The sequence below is a fragment of the Homo sapiens genome, chromosome 1, assembly GCF_000001405.40.
Source record: "Homo sapiens chromosome 1, GRCh38.p14 Primary Assembly".
In the NCBI taxonomy this organism is placed as follows: Eukaryota; Metazoa; Chordata; class Mammalia; order Primates; family Hominidae; genus Homo; species Homo sapiens.
Genome location: NC_000001.11, coordinates 41,241,106 through 41,268,807, shown reverse-complemented (window position 1 = coordinate 41,268,807; position 27,702 = coordinate 41,241,106). Strand labels below are relative to the sequence as shown.

Below are 27,702 nucleotides of genomic sequence, written 5' to 3'. Positions count from 1 at the left end.
CAGTCTAGGAAGGCCATGAGGAGGAGGCAGTTTTAATCTGGTCTTCTATTTTCTGGTACGATCTCCCTTACATCCTGTTTAGCCTCTGTTGATAGACTGATTCCACTGGCTGGGAGGAGCATATTTTCCTGGAAAGAGCATGGGATTTAGAATCAGTGGGCCTGGATCTACTTCTCAATAGTATCCCTTGAGGAAATTATTTAACATCTTTTGAGTCACAGTGTCCTGTGTGTAAAACTGAATACCTGAAAAGGTGGCTGTGAAGACTAAATGAGATAAGGAGTGTAAAATTCCCATTTATCCTTTGGTGGGGCAGAGCGCCCTCATCCTCAGCCCACCAGGGTCCCTCATGTAGACTTCATGCCTAGAAGCAAAAAGAATGAAACTGCCAGGATCAGATTCCCCGGGGCTGGTCGCCGGTCTCTGCCTGTTCCCAGGTGGGCCACCAGCGCCACCTCGTGTCCAGTCTGGGTTCTTGCAGGCCAGCCTTTCCCTGGATGATTTCTTGATCCTGAATCACCTCCATTGCCAGATGGAGCCAACAGTGCATGAAGTGTCCTAACATTCATCGTCTGACCTGCCAACAAAGCATGCTCTCTGCTCTCCTCTGATCCTCCTCTGCATGTCAGTCTCACCTCCACATCCAGATTGTAGAGGGCACACGGCCTGTGTCTTCAGCGTCCATTCCTTTTACTTGAGTAATTACTTTGTGCCACTCATTCTGACATAATCCTTAAGGCAATTATATCCTTATTCCTTTTCTGGAGAAACTGAGGCCAAGACATAGAAAGTGACTTGCTTAAGGTCACTGGGCAAGCAATTGAGGTAAGATTTGATTCCAGGACTTCTCAATGTAAACCCAAGGTTTTTTTCCACAAAAACATCCAGCACAATGTGGGTACCCAGAAGATGCTCAGTGGATCATTTCATTTTTTAGGCTTTTTAAAAGAAGTGAGCAAAAATAACTGAACAGGAGCCAGGGGACCCACCCTCAGGACTCAGATTCAAGCTCTGTCTTTTACAACTTGCTGAATAACCTTGGCTGGATCTGGGTCACTCTGTGGCCTTCAGTACCGCATGAGGAAAGGAAAGGGATTAGACTAGGTGATCCCAAAGTTTCCCTCAGGTCCTGATGTTCAACAATTGCAAAGTTGAGGAGAGGGCTCTAGAAAGGGGTTAAGATTGTGGGCTCTGAGGCCACTGCTTGGGTGAGTCCAGGCTTCACAATAGCTATGAGGCCTTCAGCAAGTTATTTATCTCAGCCTCCGTTTCCTTGTCTGGAAAATGAGGATGATGAGAGTAATCATCTGTACCTCATAGTGTTGCTCAGTTATCTACTAGACCCTCTTAAAACTGTGCTTGGTACATGGTAGGTAATACATTTGTGTTCATTTTTCAAAAATATTGATTCTGGCTGGGCGTGGTGGCTCACTCCTGTAATCCCAGCACTTTGGGAGGCCAAAGAGGACAGATAACTTGAGGTCAAGAGTTCAAGACCAGCCTGATCAATATGGTGAAACCCCGCCCCTACTAAAAATACAAAAATTAACTGGGTGTGGTGGCACGCACCTGTGGTCCCAGCTACTTGGGAGGCTGAGGCATGAGCTCACTTGAACCCAGGAGGCGGAGGTTGCACTGAGCTGAGATCACACCACTGCACTCCAGCCTGGGTGACAGAGTGAGACTCTGTCTCAAAAAATAAATAAACAAATAAATAAATAAAAATAAAAATTCTACCTGCTACCTAATTCTATTTGTTTCAGGTAACATAAAAGTCTTGTGCATTACAAGGTTGGCCACTGGTTAATTCCTGCAAGCTCCTGGACAGTCATGCATCTAGCCACAGATAAGGTCATGTGTTTGATTCCACATAGTATCATCTGGATTACAACATAAATAAAACCTGAAAGTCTTAAGCCAAAATGAGGATCAAAGACCATTGTGTTCTCCTAAATTCCATCATTCAAGATATCCTGGAAATTTCTAAGACTTGGATCCTAAACCAGGCCACTCTGAGCCTCAGTTTTCTCACTTGCAAAACTGGGAATTGGACTGGCTATTTATGAAAGCTGCTATTATGGGCCCGGCACTGTGATAAGCTTTCACACAGCGAAATCAGAGTATAGTGTGCACTGACAAAGGGACAAGGGACCCCTGCCCTCTGATTTGGGTCACTGTACTTCAGGAACTGAGGTTGGGCAGTGGAATGGTGCATCCTCTCTATCCTGTTCCTTGGGATATCTTCCTAAACGGGTAAGTGGGGAGCCTGGAGACCTTGCTAGGTGATGGGACAAATCCCTTCTCCTCTGAGAATCACAGGCCTCTAGGGCAGCCCAGCCCAGCCCAGCCCAGCAGGACTTTCTAGGGTGATGGAGGTATTCAATATCTGTGCTGTCCAATATTGCAGCCACTAGTCACCAGTAGCTTCTGAGCACTGGAAACATGGCTAGTGCAATTGAGGAACAGAATTTTAAATGTATTTACTTTTAGTTAATTTAAATTTACATAGACCGTTGTGGCTACTGGCTATTCTATCGGATAGAGCAGCTCTGAGATATTTGGCTTTGAGAGCATCCTCCTGGAGAGATGAGGTAATTGAGACACAATTGGACTGAGTGGTTTGCTTAAAGGTTTTCAGTGACTCTGTGACAGAATTGAAACCAGAACCTAGGTCCTTCTTATTCCATAACAGGCCTTTTTCCTCACATCACTGCTAGATGTGGAGACATCTAACATTGCTCTACAATAGCACCACACTTTTCTACAGGTAAGTAGTTAACCTTGACTGCAATGCTCTTCCTACCCACAACCATGCTCTTTCTGCTGGGTAAACTCCTACCCATCCTCAAGACCCAATTCAAACATCATGACCTTCTCCCCATTCCTGGCAGTTCCTTGCTCCCTTCCTGTCCTCCTGCAGCATTTTGTCTGGTTAGCTGTCGGAGCACTTACAATGTAATTGTCAATTTATTTATCTCCCCAACTTGACTAGAATTCCCTAAAAGCACAGATGGTTTTTTATTCTTCCTATCTCCAGAACGCAGCACAGGAGTCTGGTCAACAAACGTGTGGAATCAACATACTAAATATACTACAATGTACAGACTCCAAATAAAAGCAGACCTATCCCAGAAGATAAGGGAAGTGTACCAACCAATCAGAATGCCTGGGTTCTGTTTATCATCATGCTAAATTGCTGTGTGACTATGGGTATATTGTGTCCCCTCTTTGGACCTGAGGGGGTTGGACTGTGCCATTTCTAAGTAGGGCAAGCCCCAGCCCCTCTACACTAATGACCCCAAGGGAGTCCTGGCTCAGCAATTTGGGCAGGATGAGATGGAGCCTCTGGGGGAGGTTACTGGGTATGGTGGTGGGCGATGGCCAGCACACTGTGGCCGGCACAGAAGCAGCTGCTTGCTGGACTCAGAGCTGCCAGACATGCAGCTATGTCAGCAGCAAATTCCTAGGCCACTGGGCCGGGAGAGTCCAGGGCCCCCAGAAACAGTAGAGGAAGGACTGAAAGAGCAGCTCAGAGGCCGGGCGTGGTGGCTCATGTCTGTAATCCCAGCACTTTGGGAGGCCGAGGCAGGTGGATTGCCTGAGATCAAGAGTTCGAGACCAGCCTGGCTAACATGGTGAAACCCTGTCTCTACTAAAAATACAAAAAATTAGCCAGGCGTGGGGGCACACACCTGTAGTCCCAGCTACTCGGGAGGCTGAGGGAGGAGAATCACTTGAACCCGGGAGGCGGAGGTTGCAGTGAGCCGAGATTGCACCACTGCACTCCAGCCTGGGCAACAGAGCGAGACTCCGTCTCAAAAAAAAAAAAAAAAAAGCAGCTCAGATAGGAACCAAGGGAGGAAGGGAAAAGCAAGGAACCAGCACATCAGAAAGAAGAAAAAGACAGAAAAACACAACAAAGGTAGTTATAGCACTCCCACAAACATGGTGAACGTTCCTAAAACTCACCAGACTTTCTATAAGAATTGTAGCAAGCACCAACCCCACAAAGTGACACAATATAAGAAGGGCAAGGGTCTTCTGTATGCCCGGGGAAGGCAGCATTATGACAGGAAGCAGTATGGCTACTAGGCCAACTTTTCAGGGAAAAGACTGAAATTACAAAGAACATTGTGCAGAGGCTTGGGTGTTTTGAGCCCAACTGCAGATCTAAGAGAATGCTGGCAGGCTATTAGGAGATGCAGGCCTTTTCAACTGGGAGGATGTCAGAAGAGAAAGGGCCAAGTGATCCAGTTCTAAGCTTCATCTTTTATTATGAAGACAATACACCCTTGAGGTTATGTTCACTTCATTTGGTTGTAGCTGGTCTTTTAGGAGGGAATAGACTAAAGCCATCAACAAAATTCCCCTTTTGGGGAAATTTATGCTTTGTGGTTCTTCTGGGAACTAAGGAAAAAAAGAGAAAAACACAACAAAATAGTGACTGGAAAATCCACTTCTGGTTAGACTCCCATTCATTCGTGCATTTTACTCATGCATTCAACAAATATTTATTCACAGATTTCCTGAGTTCAGGGGCTCTTAGGTCGTTGGAAGCAGAAACTGAGGGCCGAGGTGGGGAATGACTTGTACAGGTCACATGAGTTACTGCCCGCCTTCTCACCTATGCCAAACCACAGTGCCAGTGGAAAGTCAGCCTTGTGTAGCCAGTGTGCCTGGCCGGCGGGCCCACACTCACCTTCAGTTGTCAAGGCCTTGGGAAGGGCCAAGAAATGGCACTCTCTTCCAGAGAACAAAAGAGGGCTTAGGGCCTTCTGTGGCCTCCTTAGGGACTCATTCCTCATGGAGTGGCTTAATAGAGTGAGCCCTGGACTTGGAGCTGGACAGTTCTGGATTCAAGTCCCCAGAGACTTCCTTTTTCTTCCAGTTGGATGAATTTGGAAAGTCATCTCTCAGAGTCAGCTTCCTCATCCATAAAATGGAGATAACAATCCCTCACAGAGTTGCTGTGAGGTTTAAATGAGATAATATGTGTGACTGTGGTAAAAGTCATCAGTAAAGGTTTTGCAAATGAATAAGACAAGAAAGAAAACAGCAGCCCCATCAGCATCAGCAGTGTCCTGGCTTGGCACTCACAGCAAGGCCCTGGCATTCTCCTGCTGAACATAAGCATGTTCCCAGAACACTGACACCAGGCAAAGCCTCTATAATCATAAGACAGGCAGCAAGACCAAAAAAAGATCACTCCACACCATGTCTGAATACAGAGAAAAACCTGGCCAGGCGTGGTGGCTCACGTATGTAATCCCAGCACTTTGGGAAGCCGAAGTAGGGGGATCACTTGAGGTCAGGAGTTCAAGAACAGCCTGGCCAACATGGTGAAACCCCATCTCTACTAAAAATACAAAAATTAGCCGGGTGTGGTGGTGGATGCCTATAATCCCAGTTATTTGGGAGGCTGAGGCAGGAGAATCACTTGAACCCAGGAGGCAGAGATTGCAGTGAGCTAAGATTGTGCCACTGCACTCCACCCTGGGCGACAGAGCGAGACTCCATCTCAAAACAAAACAAAACAACAACAACAACAACAACCGAAAAAAAAAGAACACTGCAAAATCGTTAAAACTACCAAACAGCCCCCTCTCCTGGTCAACATGAGTGTGGTGATTTCTTTACCAATGACAGCCTTAGCCACATTCCATTCGTCCCCCTCTTAGATAAAAATAATTAAAATGCCTAATCACTGAATTGCCACTGCTCCCTGACAGCACCTGGCCCAGAGAAAAACTCTCCTGGTACTCTCTTTCTGAGCTGCCCCATGGTCTCCAAGGTGTGTTATGTCCTTTGTGCAGCATGTAGTAATACCAACTTTGACTACGGGTGTGTTCCTGGTGGTCTTTTGCTATGGAGCATTGATAAAGATTTAAATAGTGGAAGTTCAGAGTCTATGACAGACCAGTGGGAGAATATATGTACACATATCTGTGTGTGTGTGTGTGTGTATACACATATAATTTTTTGCCTGAAGGACCTTTACCTCAAATTGCACAGTGATGGGTGACCTACTACTCTGCTTATGAATGAAATTGGCCCACTGGTCTAACCAGGCTCTGGCAGAATTTGGGAAATAAATGTCATGGGCAGGGGAAGAAATGGTCACAAGAAGAAAGATTAATGTTTACAGAAACCTTACCACATGCCAGACTTTGTCTCATTTAATTCTTGTAACCACTCTATGGGGTAGGTACAGTAGTATTTTCCCAGTTTATAGATAGGGAAACAGGCTCTCAGAAATTTAGTAAGCATCTGGTTCAAGATTTGAGGCAGGACCAACTCCAAGGCCCCTCCTCTGTTCACCCGGTTGTGGGCTCCTCCACCCTCTCCAAGAAGGGAGGAGGAAGCAGAGCTGACCCACTCTGCCTCCTCATCCCTGAGTGCCCTGGCAACCTGACCACCTCCTTTGGCCACATGGCCCCTGAGCTAAGGCCTAAAATTAGTCTCGAGTCACAGATCAGAACCTTCATGAATTCTCATTTTATAAGTGGGAAAACTGAGGCCCAGGGAGGTAAGTCCTCTCCTCTCCTATTCAGCCTCCCTCCAATGATTGCTGGAGCTGACTCCTACTGACCTGCAAAGGCCAATGATGTGCATCTCTTCCCAATTCAGTCTTAACAAGCTACTGTTGGTAGCTTGCTATCAGCCACGGTGAGAGTATTTACACCATGGGTATTGGCAAATGCTGCAAATCAGGGATTTTTTTTCTTTTCCACCAGAGATCCAGTTATTAAACATTTGCCAACACATCACTGGCCTCTCCCTCCCATAAGGAAAAGGAATTATAAACATTAGTGGGGATGTTTGGGAACAACCCACATCAGAGTCTAGGCAAACTATCTCAACCTAGCTTGGCTGTGATTTTGTCACAAGTAGCCATGTGCTCTGTGATTGACTTGTGTCAGAATAATCTGAGGGTATAATTGAAAATGTCTCCTGGGCCCCACTGAATCGGAATCTCTGGAGGGAGGACCCTAGAATCTGCATTTTAACAGTTATCTTCAGATGATTCTTTTGGTTCCTGAGTTTGAGTATCTCTGCTCTGTATTCTCATTGCCATATCAAATGACACCTAGTCACAGAGGGCAAAGTTTAGACCCTCAAAAAAAATGTAATTCAGCCTCTATATTTCTTGAATGCCTGCCGTGTGCTCACTGAGAGTGAATGAAGACAGGCCCAGGTCTACTTATATCTTCTTTCCCCTGTCTCTGGGGTGATGGTGGAGAGCTCATTGGCATCTAGACATTGGAATCAGACAGAGTTCCACCCACATCACCTTCCAGAGAGCACTAGGTGAGTTTGCCTGCTAGAAGTTCCAGTAGAATCTGTTAACACAAAGGAAATATATAGTCAATTTTAATTATCCAACTAAGTTGAAATCAGAAGAACTGGGTTAGAATCCTGGATCTGACCCACACTAAGTGGACTTGCCTCTAAGGCAAGTTCCTTAACCTCTCTAGAGCTCAGCTCCCTTCTCTGTAAAAGGCATCTACCTTAGAGGTTTATAAGAATCTAATGCAATAACCCTGGGGAAACAAACTGATTTCTACAGTGCAGGACACACATTGATTTCCTCAGCTAGCTCACCCTTGCAGGTGAGCCTTCCACAGCTCAAGCATCATGGGGCTGTTTTCCTCTTCAGACTGTGAGCACCTCAGAGATACCCTGGACTTACCTATCTCTGTATGTGCTCAGCACATATTAAGTACTTCCTAAAGGCCTGTGATTGAATATGAATTGTATTAGTCAGGGTTCTCCAGAGAACGGAACCAACAGAAGATGATAGATAGATAGATAGATAGAGAGATAGATAGATAGATAGATAGATAGATGATAGATAGATGATAGGTAGATAGATAGATAGATAGATAGATAGATAGATAGATAGATAGATAATTTGTTATAAGGTTTTTGCTCACATGATTATGGAGGCTGAAAAGTTCCAAAATCTGCTGTCTGCCAGGTAAGAGACCCAGGAAAGCCCAAAGTATAGTCCAAAGCCTGATAGTCAGAGAGCCGGTGGTGTAGATTTCAGCTCAGGTCTGAAGGCCTAAGAACCAAAGCACCAAGCGCAAGAGATCAATGTCCCAACTCAAGCAGTCAGGCAAAGAGCAAAATCAACCTTCATCTGCCTTTTTTGCTCTATTCAGGCCCTCAAGGATTGGATGACATTGAGGGCCATCTGCTTCACTCAGTCCACCAATCCAAATGCTAATCTCTGCTAGTCAGACATATCCAGAAATAATGTTTAATTAACTATAAGGGCATCCTTTAGCCCAGTCAAGTTGATAGATAAAATTTACTGTCACAAGATCTATGTGTAGATACAGACAGGTAAAGCTACCCACACACAGATACTATTATGGGATTATTCCCCCAGTGGTGGCATGGAGTTGTAAATAGAGCACAGGGATTGGGGTCAGGAGTTTCAAGTATTAGGGTGGGGAACAGTATGTATTGTATAATAAATTACCACAAACACAGAGGCTGAAAACAACACATGCTAAGTATCTAACAGGTTCTATGGGTCAGGATCTGAGACTGGCTCAGCTAAGTCTTCTTCCTATGGTCTCACAAGACTTCAGTCAAGGTGTTTCCCAGGGCCAGAACCTTGTCTGAGGCTTGGCTGGGAAAGGATCTGCTTCCATGCTCACTCAGGTTATTGGCAGAATTCAATTCCTTATGGTGGTAGGCTTGAGAGCTTCAGTTTGTTGTTGGCTGCCAGTCAGGGTCCACCCTCAGCTCCTAGAGATGCTGCAGTTCCTTGCCGTGTGGCCTCCCAACATCCGCAGGCTGCCACATGCCAGCTTGCTTCTTCAAAACCAATGGAGAGGCATAGGGAGACTCAGCAAGACAAGTGCCACGCTTTCTTTTTTTTTTTTTTTCGAGACGGAGTCTCACTCTGTCCCCCAGGCTGGAGTGCAGTGGCGCCATCTCGGCTCACTGCAAGCTCCACCTCCCGGGTTCTCGCCATTCTCCTGCCTCAGCCTCCCAAGTAGCTGGGACTACAGGCGCCTGCCATCACGCCTGGCTAATTTTTTGTATTTTTTAGTAGAGACAGGGTTTCACCGTGTTAGCTAGGTTGTTCTCAATCTCCTGACCTCCTGATCCGCCCACCTTGGCCCCCCAAAGTGCTGGGATTACATGCTTGAGCCACCGTGCCCGGCCCCACACTGTCACATAATATACCCATGTCATCGCTGACATGGCACCATCTATCCCACCTATCTCATCACCTTTGCTGCATTCTACCAGTGAGAAGCAAGTCACAGCACCACTGCAGCCACCCACCCCCACCACTCAAACAGAAGGAATTACAGAAAGCCATGACATCAGCAGGTGGGATGGTGAGCAACTTCCCCAAGAGTCTGTCTGCCACAGGAACTGAGAGGAACCTCGTGAAAGATTTTCCTTGTGCGGCTGGTAGACACAGACTTGTGGGATAACAGAGCTCTGAGGAATCATGTCTCACCATTTCACATTACCTAGAAGAAAACAGAAACCCAGACAGCAAAGTCAGACTAGAATCCAGACCTTCTGACTTCCAGTTTCCAACATACTCTACTGGTTCCATTTCTACTTATTGTCAGGACTCTGAAGCCACAAGCTGGAAAGTTAGATGGCACTTTGAAGTTGTAGCTCAGTGGGTATTGGAATGTCTTAGAATACCTTCAGAATAAATTCAAATCCTTAGCATGACATTCAAGGCCCTTTGACTACCTGGCCCAACCAATTTTTTTTTTTTTTTTTTGGTCTCACCTCTTGCCATTCTCCCCTGTTATGATGGCGCCATGTCAGCGATGACATGGGTACATTACGTGAAAGTGTGGCATATGTCAACAGAGAACTATTTGGTGCTTCCTGGTGGTGCCTCCCTCCCTTTACATATTCTCCACCAGGAATGCCCCTCATTTTCTATGCCTAGAAAATAAACAAAGCGGGGAGTGGCCAAGATGGCCAACTAGAAGCAGCTAGTATGAGTGGCTCTCAAAGAGAGGTACAGAAGGGGCGAGTAAATACAACACCTTCAACTGAAACATTCAGGTACTTGCATTGGGATTAATCAAGGAAACAACTTGACCCACAGAGAACGAAGAAAAGCAAGACAGGACAATGGCCCACCTGGGAGCAACACAGAGCCCAGGGATCCTCCCTCGCCCAGGAAAGCTGTGAGTGAATGAGTGATCCCAGGAAACCATGCTTCTCCCATAGATATTTGCAACCCTCGGGTCAGGAGATATCCTTATGAACCCACACTACTAGGGCCTTCAGTCTTCTGTCTGACAAAGCTATGTGGAGTCTTGGCAGAGCAGCTGCTCAGGCATGCATAGAAACCCTGGAACCTTAAGATACTTGGGGTTTCCAGCAAAAGTAGCTGCAGCTCCAGCAAAGTGGGAGGTTAAACTCCTGTACGTACCCCTAGGAAGGAGACTGAATCCAGGGGGCTGAGCAGAAACAGCCTGCAGGCCCCACTTCCATGGCACCTCACAAGATAAGACCCACTGGCTTGGAATTCCAGCAAGCTACCAACAGTGGCATTGCATCTCCCTAAGAAGGAGCTCCCCGTGGGAGGGGTGGGCCGCCATCTTTGCTGTTCAGGCATCTTAGCCATTCCAGCCTTTAGGCTTTGGAGAGTCTGAGCCAACCTGGGGTGGAAGAGATCCCCCAGTACAGCACAGCAGCTCTACCAAAGTGTAGCCCGACTGTTGCTTTAAGCAGGTACCCCATCCCATTCCTCCTCAGTGGGTAGGACCTTCCTACTGGGGCCTCCAGCCACCCCTACCTGAGCTTTCCAGCCAATAGAGATCTGAATTCCCCCTGGGACTGCGCTCTTAGAGGGAGGGGTGGGCCACCATATTTGATGTTTGGGTGACTTAGCTGTTCCAGCCTTTGGGCTTCAGAGTGTCTGAAGCAACCAGGGGCTGAAATGGATTCCCAGCACAGCACAGCTGCTATACCAAAACATGGCCAGACTGCTTTTTCTTAAGTAGGTCCTGATCCCATTCCTCCTCGCAGGGAAGGACCTCCCAACTGGGGTCCCCAGCCACTTCCTACAGGTGCCTTTGGGCCCACAACAGGCTTGTACCTCCCTGGGACAAAGCTCCCAAAGGGAGGGACAGGCTGCCATCTTTGCTATCTTACAGCCTTCACTGGTGACATCTCTTGGTTCTGGAAAATCCAAGGCGACTGGAGACTGGAGCAGACCCCAACCATACTGCAGCAGCCCTATGGAAATGTAGCCACAGTGTTACGTGGGTGCCTATTCCCATATCTCCTCACCAGGCAGGTTCTCCAGGCGGGGGCCTCCAGCCACCCCCTGCCAGAGCTATCAAGCCAGAACCAACTCAGCAACTCCCTGCACAGAGCCTCCAGGGGCAACTGATAGCCTCTCAACCATGCCTCTGCAGTGGAACTGCCCTTGCCACCCTCAGACTAATGAATGGGCAAAGACCCTAAGTGCCTTATCCATACCTCCAAGCTGTAGTTGACCCAAGGAGATGAGGCCAGTCCATCTCCTATAGGTCCCACACACCCACCACAGCTCATCAGGGAACCACTGGCTTGAGCCCACAGCACAAACCCTCCATCTTGGGCTGACTGCACTGAGTGATTACTGACCTGCATCTCCCGGGGGTGGAGCCCCTAGGAGACAAGCAAATGACCCTGGCCACCACTACTACTAAGATCTCTTCCTCTGCTGCCTCTAAGCTGGGGAAGGAACATAAACACTGAGATCTCCCCAGAGCTGCAGTGGGCAGCCCAGGAGTGTCAAGTCATGAACTACAGCCAGCACTCAAGAAGGAGAGGAACCCACACTTTCAGAGCACTGAGAGGGAACACAGCTGCAACTGTTAGGAAACATAGGGGAGCCATACAACTAAGCAAAATTCTATCAACTGACCAAGAATCCCAATTACCACCTGCTGGCTCACACTCTAAAGCTCCAACACCAAAAATACCTCACTAACATACCCCCCTCTGAAACCAGAGACAAGAAGTCAGCTTCAAATAAAGACCCTATGCAAAACCTTGGCCCAGTAGAAAAATCCAGAAAAGAAGTCTATTGTCTGTACTCAATCTACACTGCAGTTAAAGGAACACTCACAATGCAGAGATGAGAAAGAACCATTGCAAAAACTCCAGTAACTCAAATGGCCAGAGTGTCATACGTCCTCCATACGACCACACCAGTTCTCCAACAAGAGTTTTTAACCTGGCCAAACTGGCTGGAATGACAGAAATTGAATTCTGAATATGGATAGGAAGAAAAATAGGAACAAGGATATGGCAAAACCAAATTCAAGGAAAATAAGAATTAACAATAAAGTGATACAGGAGCGGAAGAACAAAATAGCTAGTATAAAAAAAGAATCTACTGAGTCTGACAGAACTGAATAACACAATACAAGAATTTCACAATGCAATCACAAATATTAACAGCAGAATAAACCAAGCTGAGGAAAGAATCTCAAAACTTGAAGACTGGTTCTCTGAAATAAGACAGACAGAAAAAAACAAAGAAAAAAGAATAAAAAGGAATGAACAAAACCTCTGAGATGTATGGGATTATGTAAAGAGGCCAAATCTATGAATCACTGGCATTCCTGAAAGGGAGTGGAAGAAAGAAAAACAACTTGGAAAATATATTTCAGAATATCATCCATGAAAACTTCCCCAACTTTGTTCCTGAAATATTCTACACAAGAAGACCATCCCAAAGACACATTATCATCAGATTTTCCAAGGTCAGAATGAAAGAACGAATGTTAAAGGCAGCTAGAGAGAATGGGCAGGTCACCTAAAAAGGGATCCCCATCAGGCTAACAGCAGACCTCTCAGCTGGAACCGTACAAGCCAAAGGAGATTGGGGGCCTATATTCAACATTCTTAAAGAAAAAAACTTCAACCAATCATTTCATATCCAGCCAAACTAAGCTTCCTTAGTGAAGGAGAAATAACATCATTTTCTGATAAGCAAATGTTGAGGGACTTCATTACCACCAGACCTGCCTTACAAGAGATCCTGAAAGGAGAACTAAATATAGAAAGGAAAGACCACTACCAGCTAATACAAAAACACACTTAAACACACAGCCAGTGTCACTGTAAAGCAACCACACAAATAAGCCAACATAATGACCAGCCAACAGCACAATGACAGGATCCAATCCACACATATAAATACGAACATTGAATGTAAACAGGCTAAATGCCCCACTTAAAAGGCACAGAGTGTGGGAGCTGCTGTGGCTCAGGCTGGTTGCCCTGGCACTCGGGGAGGTGAGGCTACAAGTTCGAGGCCAGCCTGGTCAACATTGATTAAAAAAAAAAAAAGGCACAGAGTGGCAAGCTGGATAAAAAAAGTAAGACCCAATGGTATGCTGTCTTCAAGAGACCCATCTCACATGTAATGACACTCATGGGCTCAAAATATTAATAAAGGGATGAAGAAAAATCTACCAAGGAAACAGAAAACATAAAAAAGCAGGGTTTACAATCCTGATTTCAGACAAAACAGATTTCAAACCAACAAAGATCAAAAAAGACAAGCAAGTGCATTACATAATGGTAAAGGGTTCAATTCAACAAGAAGACCTAATTATCCTAAATATATATGCCCCCAATGCAGGAGCACCCAGATTCATAAAGCAAGTTCTTTTTTTTTTTTTTTTTTTTTTTTTTGAGACGGAGTCTCGCTCTGTCGCCCAGGCTGGAGTGCAGTGGCGGGATCTCGGCTCACTGCAAGCTCCGCCTCCCGGGTTCACGCCATTCTCCTGCCTCAGCCTCCCAAGTAGCTGGGACTACAGGCGCCCGCCACTACGCCCGGCTAATTTTTTGTATTTTTTTTTTAGTAGAGACGGGGTTTCACCGTTTTAGCCGGGATGGTCTCGATCTCCTGACCTCGTGATCCGCCCGCCTCGGCCTCCCAAAGTGCTGGGATTACAGGCGTGAGCCACTGCGCCCGGCCAAAGCAAGTTCTTAGACACCTACAAAGAGACATAGACTCCCAAAAAATAATAGTGGGGGACTTCAACATTCCACTGACAGTATTAGATCATCGAGGCAGAAAATTAACAAAGATATTCAGGACCTAAACTCAGCATTGGACCAAATGGATCCGATAGACTTTTACAGAAGTCTCCATCCAAAAACAACACAATATACATTCTTCTAATTGTCACATGGCACATACTCCAAAAATGACCACATAATTGGACATTAAACAGTCCTCAACTAATGTAAAAAAACTGAAATCATACCAAACACACTCTGAGACCACAGTGCAATAAAAATAGAAGTCAACACAATGAAAATCACTCAATTACACGGAAATTACCATACAATTACCACAAATTAAACAACCTATCCTGAATGACTTTTGGGTAAGTAATGAAATTAAAGCAGAAATAAAGAAGTTCTTTGAAAATAATGAGAACAAACATAAAACATACCAGAATCTCTGGGACACAGCTAAAACAGTGTTAAGAGGGAAATTTATAGCACTAAGTGCCCACATCAAAAAGGTAGGAAGATCTCAAGTTAACAATCTAACTTCACAATTGAAGAAATTAAAGAGGCAAGAACAAATCAACCCCAAAGCTAGCAGAAGATGAGAAATAACAAAAAATCAGAGCTGAACTGAAAAAAATCGAGACATAAAAAGCTATTCAAAAGATCAATGAATCCAGGAATTGGTTTTTTGAAAAAATTAATAAAACAGGCTACTAGCTAGACTAATTAAGAAGAAAAGAGAGAAAATCCAAATAAACATAATTAGAAATGACAAAGGGGTTACTACTTACCCCACAGAAATAAAAGCAACCATCAGAAACTACTATGAACAACTCTATACATACAAACTAGAAAACCTAGAAGACATGGATAAATTCCTGGATACATACACCCTCCCAGGACAGAGCCAGGAAGAAACTGATTCCCTGAACAGACCAATAACAAGTTCCAAAATTGAATCAGTAATAAATAGCCTACCGGCCAGAAAAAAAAAAACCTCAGGACCTGGTGGATTCACAACTGAATTCTATCAGATGTACAAAGAAGAGCTGGTACCATTCCTACAGAAACTATTCCAAAAAATTACAGAGGAAGGACTTCTCAACTCATTCTATGAGGCCAGCATCATCTTGATACCAAAACCTGGCAGAGACACAACAAAAGAAGAAAACTTCAGCCCAACATCCTTGATAAACATCAACACAAAAATACTCAACAAAATACTTGCAAGATTCATTCCCAGGATGCAAGATTGGTTCAACATACAAAAATCAATAAATATGATTCATCACACAAGCAGAACTAAAGACAAAAAACACATGATTATCTCAATAGATGCAGAAAAGGCTTTTGATAAAATTCAACGTCCCTTTATGTTAAAAACTCTCAATAAACTAGGTACTGAAGGAACAAACATCAAAATAATAACAGCTATCTATGACAAATCCACAGCCAACATTATCCTGAATGGCAAAAGCTGGAAGCATTCCTCTTGAAAACCAGCACAAGACAAGGATACCATCTCTCACCACTTCTATTCAACGTAGTATTGGAAGTCCTGGTCAAAGCAATCAGGCAAGAGAAAGAAAGGACATCCAAATAGAAAGAGAGGAAGTCAAACTATCTCTGTTTGCAGACAACATGATTCTTTTTCTTTTTTTTTTTTTTTTTTTTTTTTGAGACTGAGTCTCGCTCTGTTGCCCAGGATGGAGTGCAATGGCACAATCTTGGCTCACTGCAAGCTCTGCCTCCTGGGTTCACGCCATTCTTCTGCCTCAGCCTCCGGAGTAGCTGGGACTATAGGCGCCCGCCACCACACCTGGCTAATTTTTTTTGTATTTTTAGTAGAGACGGGGTTTCACCATGTTAGCCAGGATGGTCTCGATCTCCTGACCTCGTGATCCACCCGCCTTAGCCTCCCAAAGTGCTGGGATTACAGGCGTGAGCCACCACTCCCAGCCAACATGATTCTATATCTAGAAAACCTCATAGTCTTGGCCTGTGAAAGCTCCTTCAGCTGATAAATAACTTCAGCAAAACTGCAGGATACAAAATCAATATACAAAAATCACTAGCATTCCTATACACCCACCAAGTAAACTGACAGCAAGATCAGGAAGGCAATCCCATTTATAACTGCCACAAAAAATAAAACAAAATACCTGGGAATACAGCAAACCAGGGAAGTGAAAGATCTCTACAATGAGAATTACAAAACACTGCTCAAAGAAATCAGAGAAGACACAAACAAATGGAAAAACATTCCATGCTTATGGATAGGAAGAATCAGTATCATTAAAATGGCTATATTGCCCAAAGCAACTTACAGATTTAGTGCCATTCCTATCAAACTACTGACAACATTCTTCACAGAACTAGAAAAAAAATATTTTAAAATTTATATGGAACCAAAAAAGAACCCAAATAGCCAAGGCAATCCTAAGCAAAAAGAACAAAGCTGGAGGAATCACATTACTCAACTTCAAACTATACTACAAGGCTACAGTGGCCAAAACAGCATGGTACTGATACAAAAACAGGCACATAGCCCAATGGAACAGAACAGAGATCCCAGAAATGAGGCTGCACATCTACAACCATCTGATCTTCGACAAAGCTGACAAAAGCAATGGGGAAAAGACTCCCTATTCAATAAATGGTGCTGGGACAACTAGCTAGCCATATGCAGAAGATTGAAGCTGGACCCCTTCCTCACACCATATATGAAAATCAACTCAAGATGAACTAAAGACATAAATGTAAAATTCAAAACTAGAAAAACCCTAGAAGACAACCTAGACAATACCATCCTGGATGTAGGAACAGGCAAAGATTTCACAACAAAGACATTGAAAGCAATTGCAACAAAAGCAAAAATGGACAAATGGAACCTAATTAAACATAAGAGCTTCTGCACAGCAAAAGAAACTATCGACAGACAACCTAAAGAATGAGAGAAAATATTTGCAAACTATGCTTCTGACAAAGGTCTAATATCCAGCATGTATAAAGAACTTAAATTTATAAAAGAAAAACAACCCCATTAAAAAGTGGGTAAAAGACATGAACAGACACTTCTCAAAAGAAGAAATAATGCAGCCAACAAGCATATGAAAACAAGCTCAATATCGCTGATCATTAGAAAAATGCAAGTCAAAACCACAATGAGATACCATCTCATACCAGTCAGAATGACTATTATTAAAAAGTCAAAAATATAACAGATGCTGGTGGGGAGGTTGCAGAGAAAACCCTTATACACTGTTGGTGGGAGTGTAAATTAGTTCAACCATTGTGGACAGCAGTATAGCAATTCCTTAAAGAGCTAAAAGCAGAACTACCATTTGACCCAGCAATCTCATTACTGGGTATATACCCAGAGGAATATAAAGCATTCTACATGCAAATGTGTATGCAAAGACATACACATGCAAATGTTCATTGCAACACTGTTCACAATAGCAAAGACATGAAATCAACCTAAATGCCCATGAATGACAGACTGGATTTTAAAAAATGTTGTACATATACACCACTGAATATTATGCAGCCATAAAAAAGAATGAGATCATGTTTTTTTGCGGGAACATGAATGGGGCTGGAGGCTATTATCCTTAGCAAACTAATGCAGGAATAGAAAACCAAACACTGCATGTTTCCACTTATAACTGGGAGCTGAATGATAAAAATTTATGAACACAAAGAAGAAAACAACAGACACTAGGGTCTACTTGAGCGGGGAGGGTGGGAGGCGGGAGAGAAGCAGGAAAAATAACTATTGGGTATTGAGCTTAATACCTGGGTGATGTAATAATATGTACAACTAACCCCCATGACACGTGTTTACCTATGTAATAAACCCTGACATGTATCCCCAAACCTAAAATAAAAACTAAAAATAAACCAACAAAACAAATGGAAAAATAAAACTGCTTATCCTTTGAGTCCCAGCTCAAATGCCACCTTCTCTGTGAAACCTTTCTTAATTCTTGTAGGCAGAATTAATCCCTCCCTCCATTTTGCTCTTAGAATCTTGTACAGTTTCTGTATAGCCCTTTTCATATGTATGACAGTTGTTTTTGAATTCTGTCTCTCCTGTGACATTAGGACCTTAAAGCAGGGTTGTTAGAATGATGTGAAACAAATTTGGTTTAAACAAGTCTATCATGCCAGCTGGCCCTGTCAAGAGACTATCAACAGCTTCTCCTGCTGAGCTGAGATACCAGCAAAGCTAATGAGAGTATTTAGTTCAAAGCAGATGTCCCCAGAAGCTGATAGTCAAGGAAAGGCTAGCTCAATCCCCAGCACTGCTCCATATAGTAAATCTTTACTGATCGATTGAATAGGATTGTCATTCAACAATAATTCAATCACTTGTGTACAGTTGACCCTTGAACAACATGGTTTTGAACTGCATGGGTCCATTTTACACAGACTTTTTTCAATATACTGAAAAATTGTTTGGAGGTTTGAGACAATTTGAAAAAACTCAGATAAACCACGTAGCCTAGAAATATCAAAAAATTTAAGAAAAAGTTTTATGTCATGAATGCATAAAATATATGTAGAAACAATTCTATTTAATCACTTATGACAATAAAATATATACAAATCTACTGTAAAAAGTTAAAATTTGTTAACCATGGTGGCTTATACGTGTAATCCCAGAACTCTGGGAGGCCTAGGTGAGAGAATCGCTTGAGCCCAGGAGTTCAAGACCAGCCTTGGGCAACAAAGTGAGACCTTGTCTCTATTTAAAAATCAAAAAATTAGCCCGGCATGGTGGTGCGTGCCTGTAGTCCCATCTACTCAAGAGGCTGAGGTGGGAGGATCACTTGAGCCCAGGAGATTGAAGCTGCAGTGAGCCGTGACTGTGCCACTGCAAGCGTGTCGGCCTGGGCGACAGAGAAAGACCCTGTCTCAAAAAATAAAAAATAAATAAAATTTATCAAAACTTATGCACACAAACATTTACAGACCTTATGTACATAGTGCCATTTGCAGTTGAGAAAAATGTAAACAAACATAAAGATGCAGTATTAAATCATAACTACAAGAAGTTAACTGCAGTGCATAAGGTACTACTGTAATGATTTTGGAGCCACCTCCTATAGCCATTGTGGTGAGCTCAGCTGTTAAGAGTATCCCTTAAAACAACCTGTGACGCTAATCATCTCCATGTGAGCCATTCATCTCTCCAGTAAACTGCATATCGCAGTAAAAAGTGATCTCTTGCAGTTCTCAAGTATTTTTCATCGTGTTTAGTACAATACCATAAATCTTGAATAACGCCATGGGACCTATACAAAGTGCCACTAGTGATGCTGGAAGTGCTCCCAAGAAGCAGAGAAAAGTCGGGACATTACAAGAAAAAGTTGAATTGCTTGATATGTGCTGCAGATTGATGTCTGCAGCTGCAGTTGCATGCTATTTCAGACAGATGATTCACCCTGTAAACAGACAATGTAAACTTATGGTATCGATAAATACAGTATAGTACTGTAAATGTATTTTCTCTGTTATATGATTTTCTTAATAACATTTTCTTTTCTATAGCTTATTTTATTGTAAGAGTACAGTATATAATACATATGCAAAATATGTGTTAATAGACTATGTTATCAGTAAGGCTTCTGGTCAATAGTAGGCTATTAGTAGTTAAGTTTGTGGGGAGTCAAAAGTTACATGCAATTTTCGACTGTACAGGGGGTTGGCGCCTCTAACCCCCACATTGTTCAAGGGCTAACTGTATACCAAAGGCTGGGCTTATACTAATAGTTCAAGTTACAGAGATAAGAAAAAGGCATGAACAATCAAAATCACAGGGGCTTGGGAAACAAAAAAAACCTGATTCAAAGCCAGACTCAGTTATTTACTAGCTATATGATTGTGAGCAAGTTATTTAACTTCTCTGACCTTAGTCTCATCAGTTAAAGAGGGGTAACAATACCTACACCATAAGGGTTGCTGTGTGGATTACATAAGATGATATACACACCTGGCACATTGCAGGTGCTCAATAAATGTTAATGCTGTGCCCCTTATCCATTTGTAGAGAATCAATAGTAACACAGGCAATAATTATCATACCCTATGATCAATGCTATAATGCTAAGGAAGTGTAGATAATAGAGGAACTTGTTTTATTGAGCAGAGAAGAAGGAAAGGGAAAACTTCAAACAGAGAATGAGCAGGAGCTGGCTAGGAGGATCTTCCAAGGGAATAGTGTGGACCAACACGTGGCTGTCCTGGCTCCAAGTCTTCCTTTTTGTCTACTTCCAGATGAGGTGGCATCTAGGGCCTGAAGTGAGCCATCTCTTCCTTCTGTGACAGATGACTGATGTTTTCATTTCTTTGCCATACTATATAAAGTGCCTCCTCTCTCAACCAGAAATATGAACTAATCCAATTTGCAGATGAGTTAATGCTGGGACCTGAAATGCACTGAATTCTGAAGTTCTGATTCCAAGAAGAATGTCAAATGAGTCTCACTCTCAATGCATGTGACATATTTAAAAAAATATATTTTAGGTGGATTTGATGCTGTTAAATTGAGACATATATATAAACTGTGAATGATATAGTTGCTGTGGGAACCCTTGAAATCTCCTAACATTTTTACATCCACAATTTCATGATCTCAATAACTTAGACTCCCAGAATCCCAAAATGTTAGTAATAGAAGACCCCTTAGAGGCCCAACCTCCACATCTTCCTGATGGAGGAATGTAGGCCAAGACATGAAGAATGACCTGTCCAAAGCTGTACAGCAAAATCCTTAATTTCTGACACCGGAATGCAGGCCTCTAAGTTGGAAACCCAGCTCTCTTTCTCCTGTAGTACAGTTACTCCTGAGGGACTGTTTAGGGTAAGGTCTTTTTAATTGTACACTTCAGTAACAGATATTCATTTTGAGGAAGATTCATTTCTTTTGGGTCCAATTGGTGCTTTCAACAAAGTCAAACCTCAGATTCTTGACCATCTCCATAATATATATATATAAGATATTTGATATATAATATATTAAGTATATATCATACTATATATCAAATATATATCAAACCTCAGGTTCTTGACCATCTCCATAATACTATGACCTAAAGGTGACAGAATCATAGACTCTTAGAGTAAGAATGAGATTTTAGAGGCTTATCTGGTTCAATTCATCTTCTACCAAAGAAATACCCTTCTTGAATGTGTCCAGTGATGTATTCATTTCCCCAAGAGTATTATCCCATTGTTTGCCCATGAATGCTAGCATCATCAAGTAGAACTCTGTTTCTCTGTCTACTCTGTCCATTAAGAGAAAGGGAAGGAAGGGAATGGTGTTCACTTACTGAGCACCGTTTGTGTACCAGACACATGTGAGAGTCTTGGATATGTTACCTCACTTGATTCCTGAAACATCCCTATAAAGTAGATGTTCAATTTACAAACTAAAAAAAAAAAAATAGTTCAGAAAGTTTAAATAATGTGCCCAAATTTACCCATGGTCAGTGGAAGAGTCAAGTCCATGGACTCTCTTTGGTATGCTGAGAGGCCTTGTCTTCCCTGCCTCCTATCTCTCTTCAGTGTAGCTCTTTCAGCAAGCTGTGCTAGAGATTTCCTTTTAAAATAAAAATCTGCTTAAAGGCCTTTGATGGCTCTTCAATACCCACTCAAGGTAAATAGTTCAATACCCACTCAAGGTAAATAGTCCAAGCTCTTTAGCTAATAATCAAGGCCCTTGACAATCTGGCTCCAGTCAAATATTGCAGGCTCACTTCCCTCTTCTTTTCCGATGCATCCTAGGTTTTCCATGAGGATGCCTTTTTGTCTTTGTTCATGCTGTACTTGCTGCCTATGTGTCCTTCCCCTCCTTCTCTGCCTAAAAAAGTCCTAGTTTTCCTTTAAGGTCCACTCAAATGTCACCTTCTTGGTGAAGTCTTCCCCAGTATCTCTGGGCTCAATGAACCCTCCTCTGCCTTCTCCATATTACAGAGGACATTGCAAAGTCCTCTGTAATAGCCTTTTTTGCATTGTCATGGTCCCTTGTAGACTGAGATCCTTAAAGACACGGATTGTACTTTACATTTATTTGCATTCCCAGTTCCTGGCACATAATAGGAGTTCCATAGATATGTGTGGAATAGAATTGAGGCCTAATCCTTTTCCACATGTTAGCCCTTCAATTATCTGAAGACCCTTCTAAGGCCTTGCCCTACCCCACTCTACTCCCATTAGTAGTTATTTCTTCTGCAGGCTAAATGTTCCCAACTCCTTTCAGCTGCTCCTTATAAAGTCTGATTTCCAGATTCCTTATCTGGTCATTTGCTTCTGGGTCATAATTTGTCAACATCACTCTTTTAAAATATAATGCCTAGGACAAACTCAATAGCCCAAAGTCTGGCCATAGCAGAACAAAGTGAGGGGATTCCAAACTGTGATTCCAATCTATGACGTTTTCTTGGCCATTACTGTGTGCCAGGAGGTCTTTCTACTTTATTTTCTTTCAGTCTTCAATAATCTGGTGAGGTAGGTGTCATTTCTTCCATTTTATAGATGAGGATATAAGCCATCTGGTAAGGCACTTTGAGAATAAGTTAAAGTCACAATTCCAGAGCATAAAGCAAACTTGTGATCAACTGATACCTTTAGATCATTCGTACATCAACTGCTGTAAAGTTATTATTTTTTCCAGTTACCGGCTAGTGACAGGCTTAAGGGAAACTGAGGACAAAGAATCAGTACCTTTAGAAGGGTGTGAAACCAAAGCATACAGAAAAGGCAGGTTGGATTAATGACCACCTTCCTAACAATAACAGCCTTTATCTAGGAGCTCAGAGACTGGAATGTCTTAACCACACAGCTTCCTGGAACTATTTTTACTTTGTATTTTACAAGAGGAGAAAGAGCAGAAGCGTCTTAGATAAACAACAAGGTTTGGGCTCAGCACATGTCTGAATCTGAACAGCCAGTGGGGCCCTGTGGTCACAAGGCAGATAATAAGGAGGTTGCCTCTTTGGTCTGTGGCTTGGGTCTGAAAGGGTCCTACTGTGCACATTCATTCTATAAATATAGACTGATCACCAAATGTGTTCCAGGTATGGTGCGAGGTGCTGTGGATGTAATGAAGAACAAAGACAGAGTTCCAATCTGTGGAGCTTACAGTCAGGTGAAAGATAAGCATAAATGAAAATGATATGCACAGATCCTAGTAAATGCAATGATGAATGAAGGTGCCAGGCTACAAGGAGAGCGAAAGGAGGGGCATTTAATTTATCCTGGGGTGAGGATGGAAGAGAAGGTATCAGAGGAAGTTCCTGGGGAAGGTAGTCTTAATTGATGTGTAGGACTTAATGTGGTGAAGGCTCTTATGTATTTCAATGCATCCCCCCCACACCCCGCAACACACATACTTTCTTTAAGCATCAGAAACCATCTTTCCCATTTCCTTTACCAACTCTTCTACTGGGTCATCAACAACATGAAAAAAAACAAAAACAAAAAACAAAACAAAAACTACTGTTTTTGTCAGTTCTGTCAGTGCCAGAATAATCACTCCTTTTTGCTGTAATGTAATGTAGAAAAGAGCAGACCTGGGGTTTCCTAGCATACCTCCTTTAAAAAAAAATTACATCCTGATTAACTTGCCTATTTCTTCCCTCTCCATTGCCTCTGTATTTCTTGGCTTCCCCACACCTGTAACCCAAAGGTCACAGGGTCTGTCATAGCCCAATTCCACTCTCCAGTTGCCTCTTGGTTTTTAACCCCCCTTATTAAAATCCAAACATTAAGCAACTAATAACACCCATGTGTAATTAGTTGTTTAATTGAACAGCACAGAACTGTTAATACATTATGCTGTGCCCTGGAATATTAAGTGGAATAAAAGCAAAGTACTATATTCAAGGAAACTACAGTCTGACTTAAAATACTACAATGGGAAACATTTCACACAGAGATTTTTACCAAGTGACAGTGGAGAGGAGGGAGAAATGAGTTCTTCCTGAGAAGTGTCAGAGAAGTTCTGAGCTGGATCTAAAAAAGAAGCAGGAGGCTGGGTGTGGTGGCTCACGCCTGTAATCCCAGCACTTTGGGAGGCCAAGGAGGGCGGATCACAAGGTCAGGAGATTGAGACCATCCTGGCTAACATGGTGAAACGCTGTCTCTACTAAAAATACAAAAAATTAGCTGGGCGTGGTGGCAGGCGCCTGTAGTCCCACCTACTCAGGAGGCTGAGGCAGGAGAATGGCGTGAACCCGGAAGATGGAGCTTGCAGTGAGCCGAGATCATGCCACTGCACTCCAAACTGGATGACAGAGCGAGACTCCATCTCAAAAAAAAAAAAAAGCAGGAATCCAAAGGACAATATGCATAATATTTATTTATTTTTAGCAGATGTGGGAATATCTCCCTCATGCCAAGCCTTATCTAAGGCTACAGGTGTGAATAAGGTTCCTGATCTCAAGACGCTTTCAGCCTAGAAAAGAGGTTTAGAAATATACTCCAATAATGGCAACATATATGGTGCCATGGACAGAGTTACAGAACAAACTGCTAGGGGAATTCATAGAGAAAATGTTCAAGAGAACATTTCTCACTGGACGTAGTAGGCAGAATTCTAAGGTAGCTTCCTAGATTAACCTTCATGTACACCTTCTGCATAGTCCCTGGGACAGTGGCTATGATGAATTTTACTCCTGTGATTAGGGTATGTGATGTGGCACAGGTGATCTTAAAGTAGGAAGATTATCTAGGTGGGTCTGACCTAATTACAAGTCTTTTAAAAGCTCATAGTGTTCTCTGACTGGTTGAAGAAGGGAAATCAGAGATATTTAAAGAATGAGAGGGAGTGACATGAGAAAGGTTCTCTGTTGATGAGATAAAAGGGATCACGTGGCAAGGACCTGAGAGTGGTCCCCAACAGAGAGCTGGCAAAACAGTGTAGCTGTGGGATCCTAGTCCTACAGGGACATGAATTCTGCCAACAGCCCGAAGGAGCCTGGGGCAGACCTTTCCCTCGTGGAGGTGCTAGACATCTTGATTTCAGCCTATGACACCACGAGCAGAAAACCCAGCCACACCATGCCAGTTTTCCGACCTACACAACTGTGAGTAAATCAATGGGTGTTGCTTTAAGCTGCAAAATTTGTGCCAATTTGTTATGCAGGAATAGAAAACTAATATGAGCACTTACAACACTGTGCTCTCATTAGCTATTGACATAATAGTTTCCCCAAATATGGGCTCCTTAGATTTAGGCTCTAATTATCCTTGTAACCTCAGGGCTCTTCATGAGACAGGTACTCCCCAAAACGCCATGGAATGAAAGTTTAAATTAGACAACAGGGATGCAGATCAGAACCTGGATAGATTCTGACCATTTCCATTTCTCAAGAATGGGCAGACGGATACTGACACCAATACCAGGATACAAGGAGGCGGCCCCCCTTCAGTCCAAAGCTCTAAGACCTATTCTAGAGGCAAGGCAAGTAATCCAGGCTCAGCTGCCCCATCTGCTGCTCCAGCCTTGCTTAAGTGGACTTCCCTCCAAGGAACATTGTTCACAGAAGGATCATTAACAAGACATTCCTGTGTGACCTGAGGATTGCCATGTTCTAAATGATGCCCACACCCACTCCACATCCAGCTCAGCAGAGGTCTCGGGATTTATATTGCACTGTATTTTCAAGCAGCCAAAACAGAAGTCAAGACGTCAGTTTCCTAAGCTGCTAAAATGATGTGGTGGTTAAACCAATTGTGTGCCAGGCGCAGTGGCTCACGCCTGTAGTCCCAGCGCTTTGGGAGGCTGACGCAGGAGGATCACTTGAGCCCAGTAATTTGAGGTTACAGTGAGCTATGATGGCGCCACTGCACTCCGACCTTGGGGACAAAGTGAGGCTCCATCTCTAACAAAACAAAAATAGAATTGTGTAGCCAACATGGCTGGTGGGCCTGGAAGAATGAGCCTGTGCATTGTACCTGGCCCATCACGGGCTCAGTGCGTACTCGTTGAAGGGATCACCACAGGGAGGACCGAGGACGCTGACACTCCCTAGGGCATCCAAGCACCAACTCATCTCTCACCTACCCTCCGGGTGCAGTGCTATCGTGTTGGAGAAGAGGCCCCTGGGTGGCTGTGCGAAGTAACTCGCCCAAGGTCACCACACGGCCAGCCACTAGCCCGGCGGGAGTCGCCCGAGGCGAGGCCCACGTCAGCCGGTCTTGGGGGCCCGACCGGTGGCTCCTCCACCAGCCCCACGCGGCCTCAGAGCGGGCTACTGGCGTCCTCGAGATTCGAACCCGAGTCCTCGGCCTCGTCCCCGCCCTCGCGCCCTCTCAGGCCTCAGTTTTCCCATCTACAGGACGCAGACCGGAGAGCTGGTCCGGGCGCCAACTGGGCCCCCGGACCCGGGTCGGCAGGCCGGCGGGGTACGGCCGGGCCGGGTTCCCGCGCGCCCTCCCTCCTCCAGCGCGCCGCCCCGCCCCCCGCGCGAGCCCAACGGCCGAGGCGCGCGCCACCTCGCAGCGGGAGGCGCGGGGGAGGGGCCGGGGGAGCCCCCGCCCCGCCCCCCGCCTCAGCCGCCACCGCCAGCTCGGTGGAGCCCCCCGCCGCCCGCCCGCCGCTCTCCCGAGCCGCCCGCCCGCCCCCTTCCCGCGTCTCCGCTCCCTCCCTGCGCAGCGGAAACATGGCGGCGGGAAGAGAGTGAGCCGCCCCGCGCCCCCGCCGCGCCCTCAGGTAAGCGCCTCGCGGCCGCCTCCGCCCGCCTAAGAGCTCGTGCCCTGAGGGGCCGCCTGGGGCCAGAAGGCGGTGGCGGGACCTGCGCAGCCGCTGCGCCTGCTCCCCCGGGCCGGGGTCAGCCTGTCCGTCTGTCTGGCCGGCCTGCCAGTCTGTGGTCCGCGCGGGGCTGGGCCCTTTCTCGGCCGTGTCAGCCCGGCCCCGAGCCCGGAGGCCGGCTCTGCATCTGCGGTCGGGCGGGCGGGGCCCACGGTCCGGTCGCGGCCCTGACGCCGCCAGGACTGCCCGGGGGCCCCGGCACGGGAAACCCAAGGCCGGGGGCCCTTTGGAGGGTCGGCGTGGGGGCGGTCCGTATAGGTCGCCGTGTCTGGCCGGCGGGGCCGGGTGGGCCGGGGCAGGCTGGCTGGGGGCCGAGGGCCGGGCGGCGGCGCGACCCCGTCTGCGCGGGTCAGTCGGTCCCCTCCGGCGCCAGAGGTGGGAATGCCTGTGATTCTGGCTGGCCGGGTCCCGGTTCGGGGAAGGCAGAGACAGAGGTCGACGGGGCGGCGTGGCCCCCACCGAGAGCTGGGGCGCCTAGGGCCCGGAGCTGTCAGCAGCGTCCTGGGGGCTGGGCCCCGGCTGGCCGACTCACGTGTGCCGCCTGCCCCAGTGCCCCGCCGGAAACGGGCAGGGAGAGCGGCCCCGCACCGAAGTGAGCCACAGCGGCCCTGGGGGCCAGACACGTGGGCACAGTTGTGTGCCAGCCCGAGAGCATCGAAAGTGGTATCCAGCCGATGGGTGAACCCCGGAATATCTCCTGACTGGAAGAGAATTTAAAAGTCATCTAGGGGCGCTTTCTCCCATCCCATGCCAAAGTGACTTTGAAAATCCCCAAATCCCCCCGATAATTTGACGAGCCCGTTTGGAACCTCTTCCAGTGATCCGAAGCGAATCTCTTTAAAGGAAACCCATTC

At 45.1% G+C, this 27,702-nt stretch overlaps 1 protein-coding gene, 1 long non-coding RNA gene and 1 pseudogene across 38 annotated transcripts in view, besides 5 other annotated features; 2 read left to right on the top strand and 1 right to left on the bottom strand.

Annotated features, from left to right (window-relative positions):
• Positions 297 to 591: an enhancer, noted in NCBI's record as "tiled region #3563; K562 Activating DNase unmatched - State 12:CtcfO". NCBI's record gives its function as "activates a minimal TATA promoter and a strong SV40 promoter by Sharpr-MPRA in K562 cells {active_cell/tissue: K562}" and the evidence as "EXISTENCE:reporter gene assay evidence [ECO:0000049][PMID:27701403]".
• RPL36AP9 (ribosomal protein L36a pseudogene 9) lies at positions 3,929 to 4,390 on the top strand (annotated as a pseudogene).
• On the bottom strand, positions 4,250 to 26,450 carry SCMH1-DT (SCMH1 divergent transcript). The gene is made up of 3 exons (NR_186015.1): positions 26,102 to 26,450; positions 7,935 to 8,065; positions 4,250 to 4,407 (listed from the first exon to the last, which is right to left on the bottom strand). It is a non-coding gene; the product is annotated as an SCMH1 divergent transcript (long non-coding RNA).
• Positions 18,856 to 19,024: a silencer, noted in NCBI's record as "fragment chr1:41715456-41715624 (GRCh37/hg19 assembly coordinates)". NCBI's record gives its function as "represses an EF-1alpha promoter that drives an FKBP-Casp9 reporter gene in an ReSE screen in phorbol 12-myristate 13-acetate-treated (for megakaryocytic differentiation) K562 erythroleukemia cells {active_cell/tissue: K562(+PMA)}" and the evidence as "EXISTENCE:reporter gene assay evidence [ECO:0000049][PMID:32094911]".
• Positions 26,192 to 26,591: a silencer, noted in NCBI's record as "silent region_743". NCBI's record gives its function as "represses an Ori minimal core promoter by ATAC-STARR-seq in GM12878 lymphoblastoid cells {active_cell/tissue: GM12878}" and the evidence as "EXISTENCE:reporter gene assay evidence [ECO:0000049][PMID:35858748]".
• The window catches only part of SCMH1 (Scm polycomb group protein homolog 1), a 215,105-nt gene continuing 213,904 nt past the window's right edge, over positions 26,502 to 27,702 (top strand). For all 37 annotated transcript variants that reach the window (NR_135092.2, XR_946584.3, XR_007096354.1 and 34 more), the window contains exon 1: positions 26,502 to 26,749. The gene's annotated coding sequence lies outside the window, so the exon portion shown is untranslated. The remainder of the gene's footprint in view (positions 26,750 to 27,702) is intronic.
• Positions 26,632 to 27,181: a silencer, noted in NCBI's record as "silent region_742". NCBI's record gives its function as "represses an Ori minimal core promoter by ATAC-STARR-seq in GM12878 lymphoblastoid cells {active_cell/tissue: GM12878}" and the evidence as "EXISTENCE:reporter gene assay evidence [ECO:0000049][PMID:35858748]".
• Positions 27,282 to 27,441: a silencer, noted in NCBI's record as "silent region_741". NCBI's record gives its function as "represses an Ori minimal core promoter by ATAC-STARR-seq in GM12878 lymphoblastoid cells {active_cell/tissue: GM12878}" and the evidence as "EXISTENCE:reporter gene assay evidence [ECO:0000049][PMID:35858748]".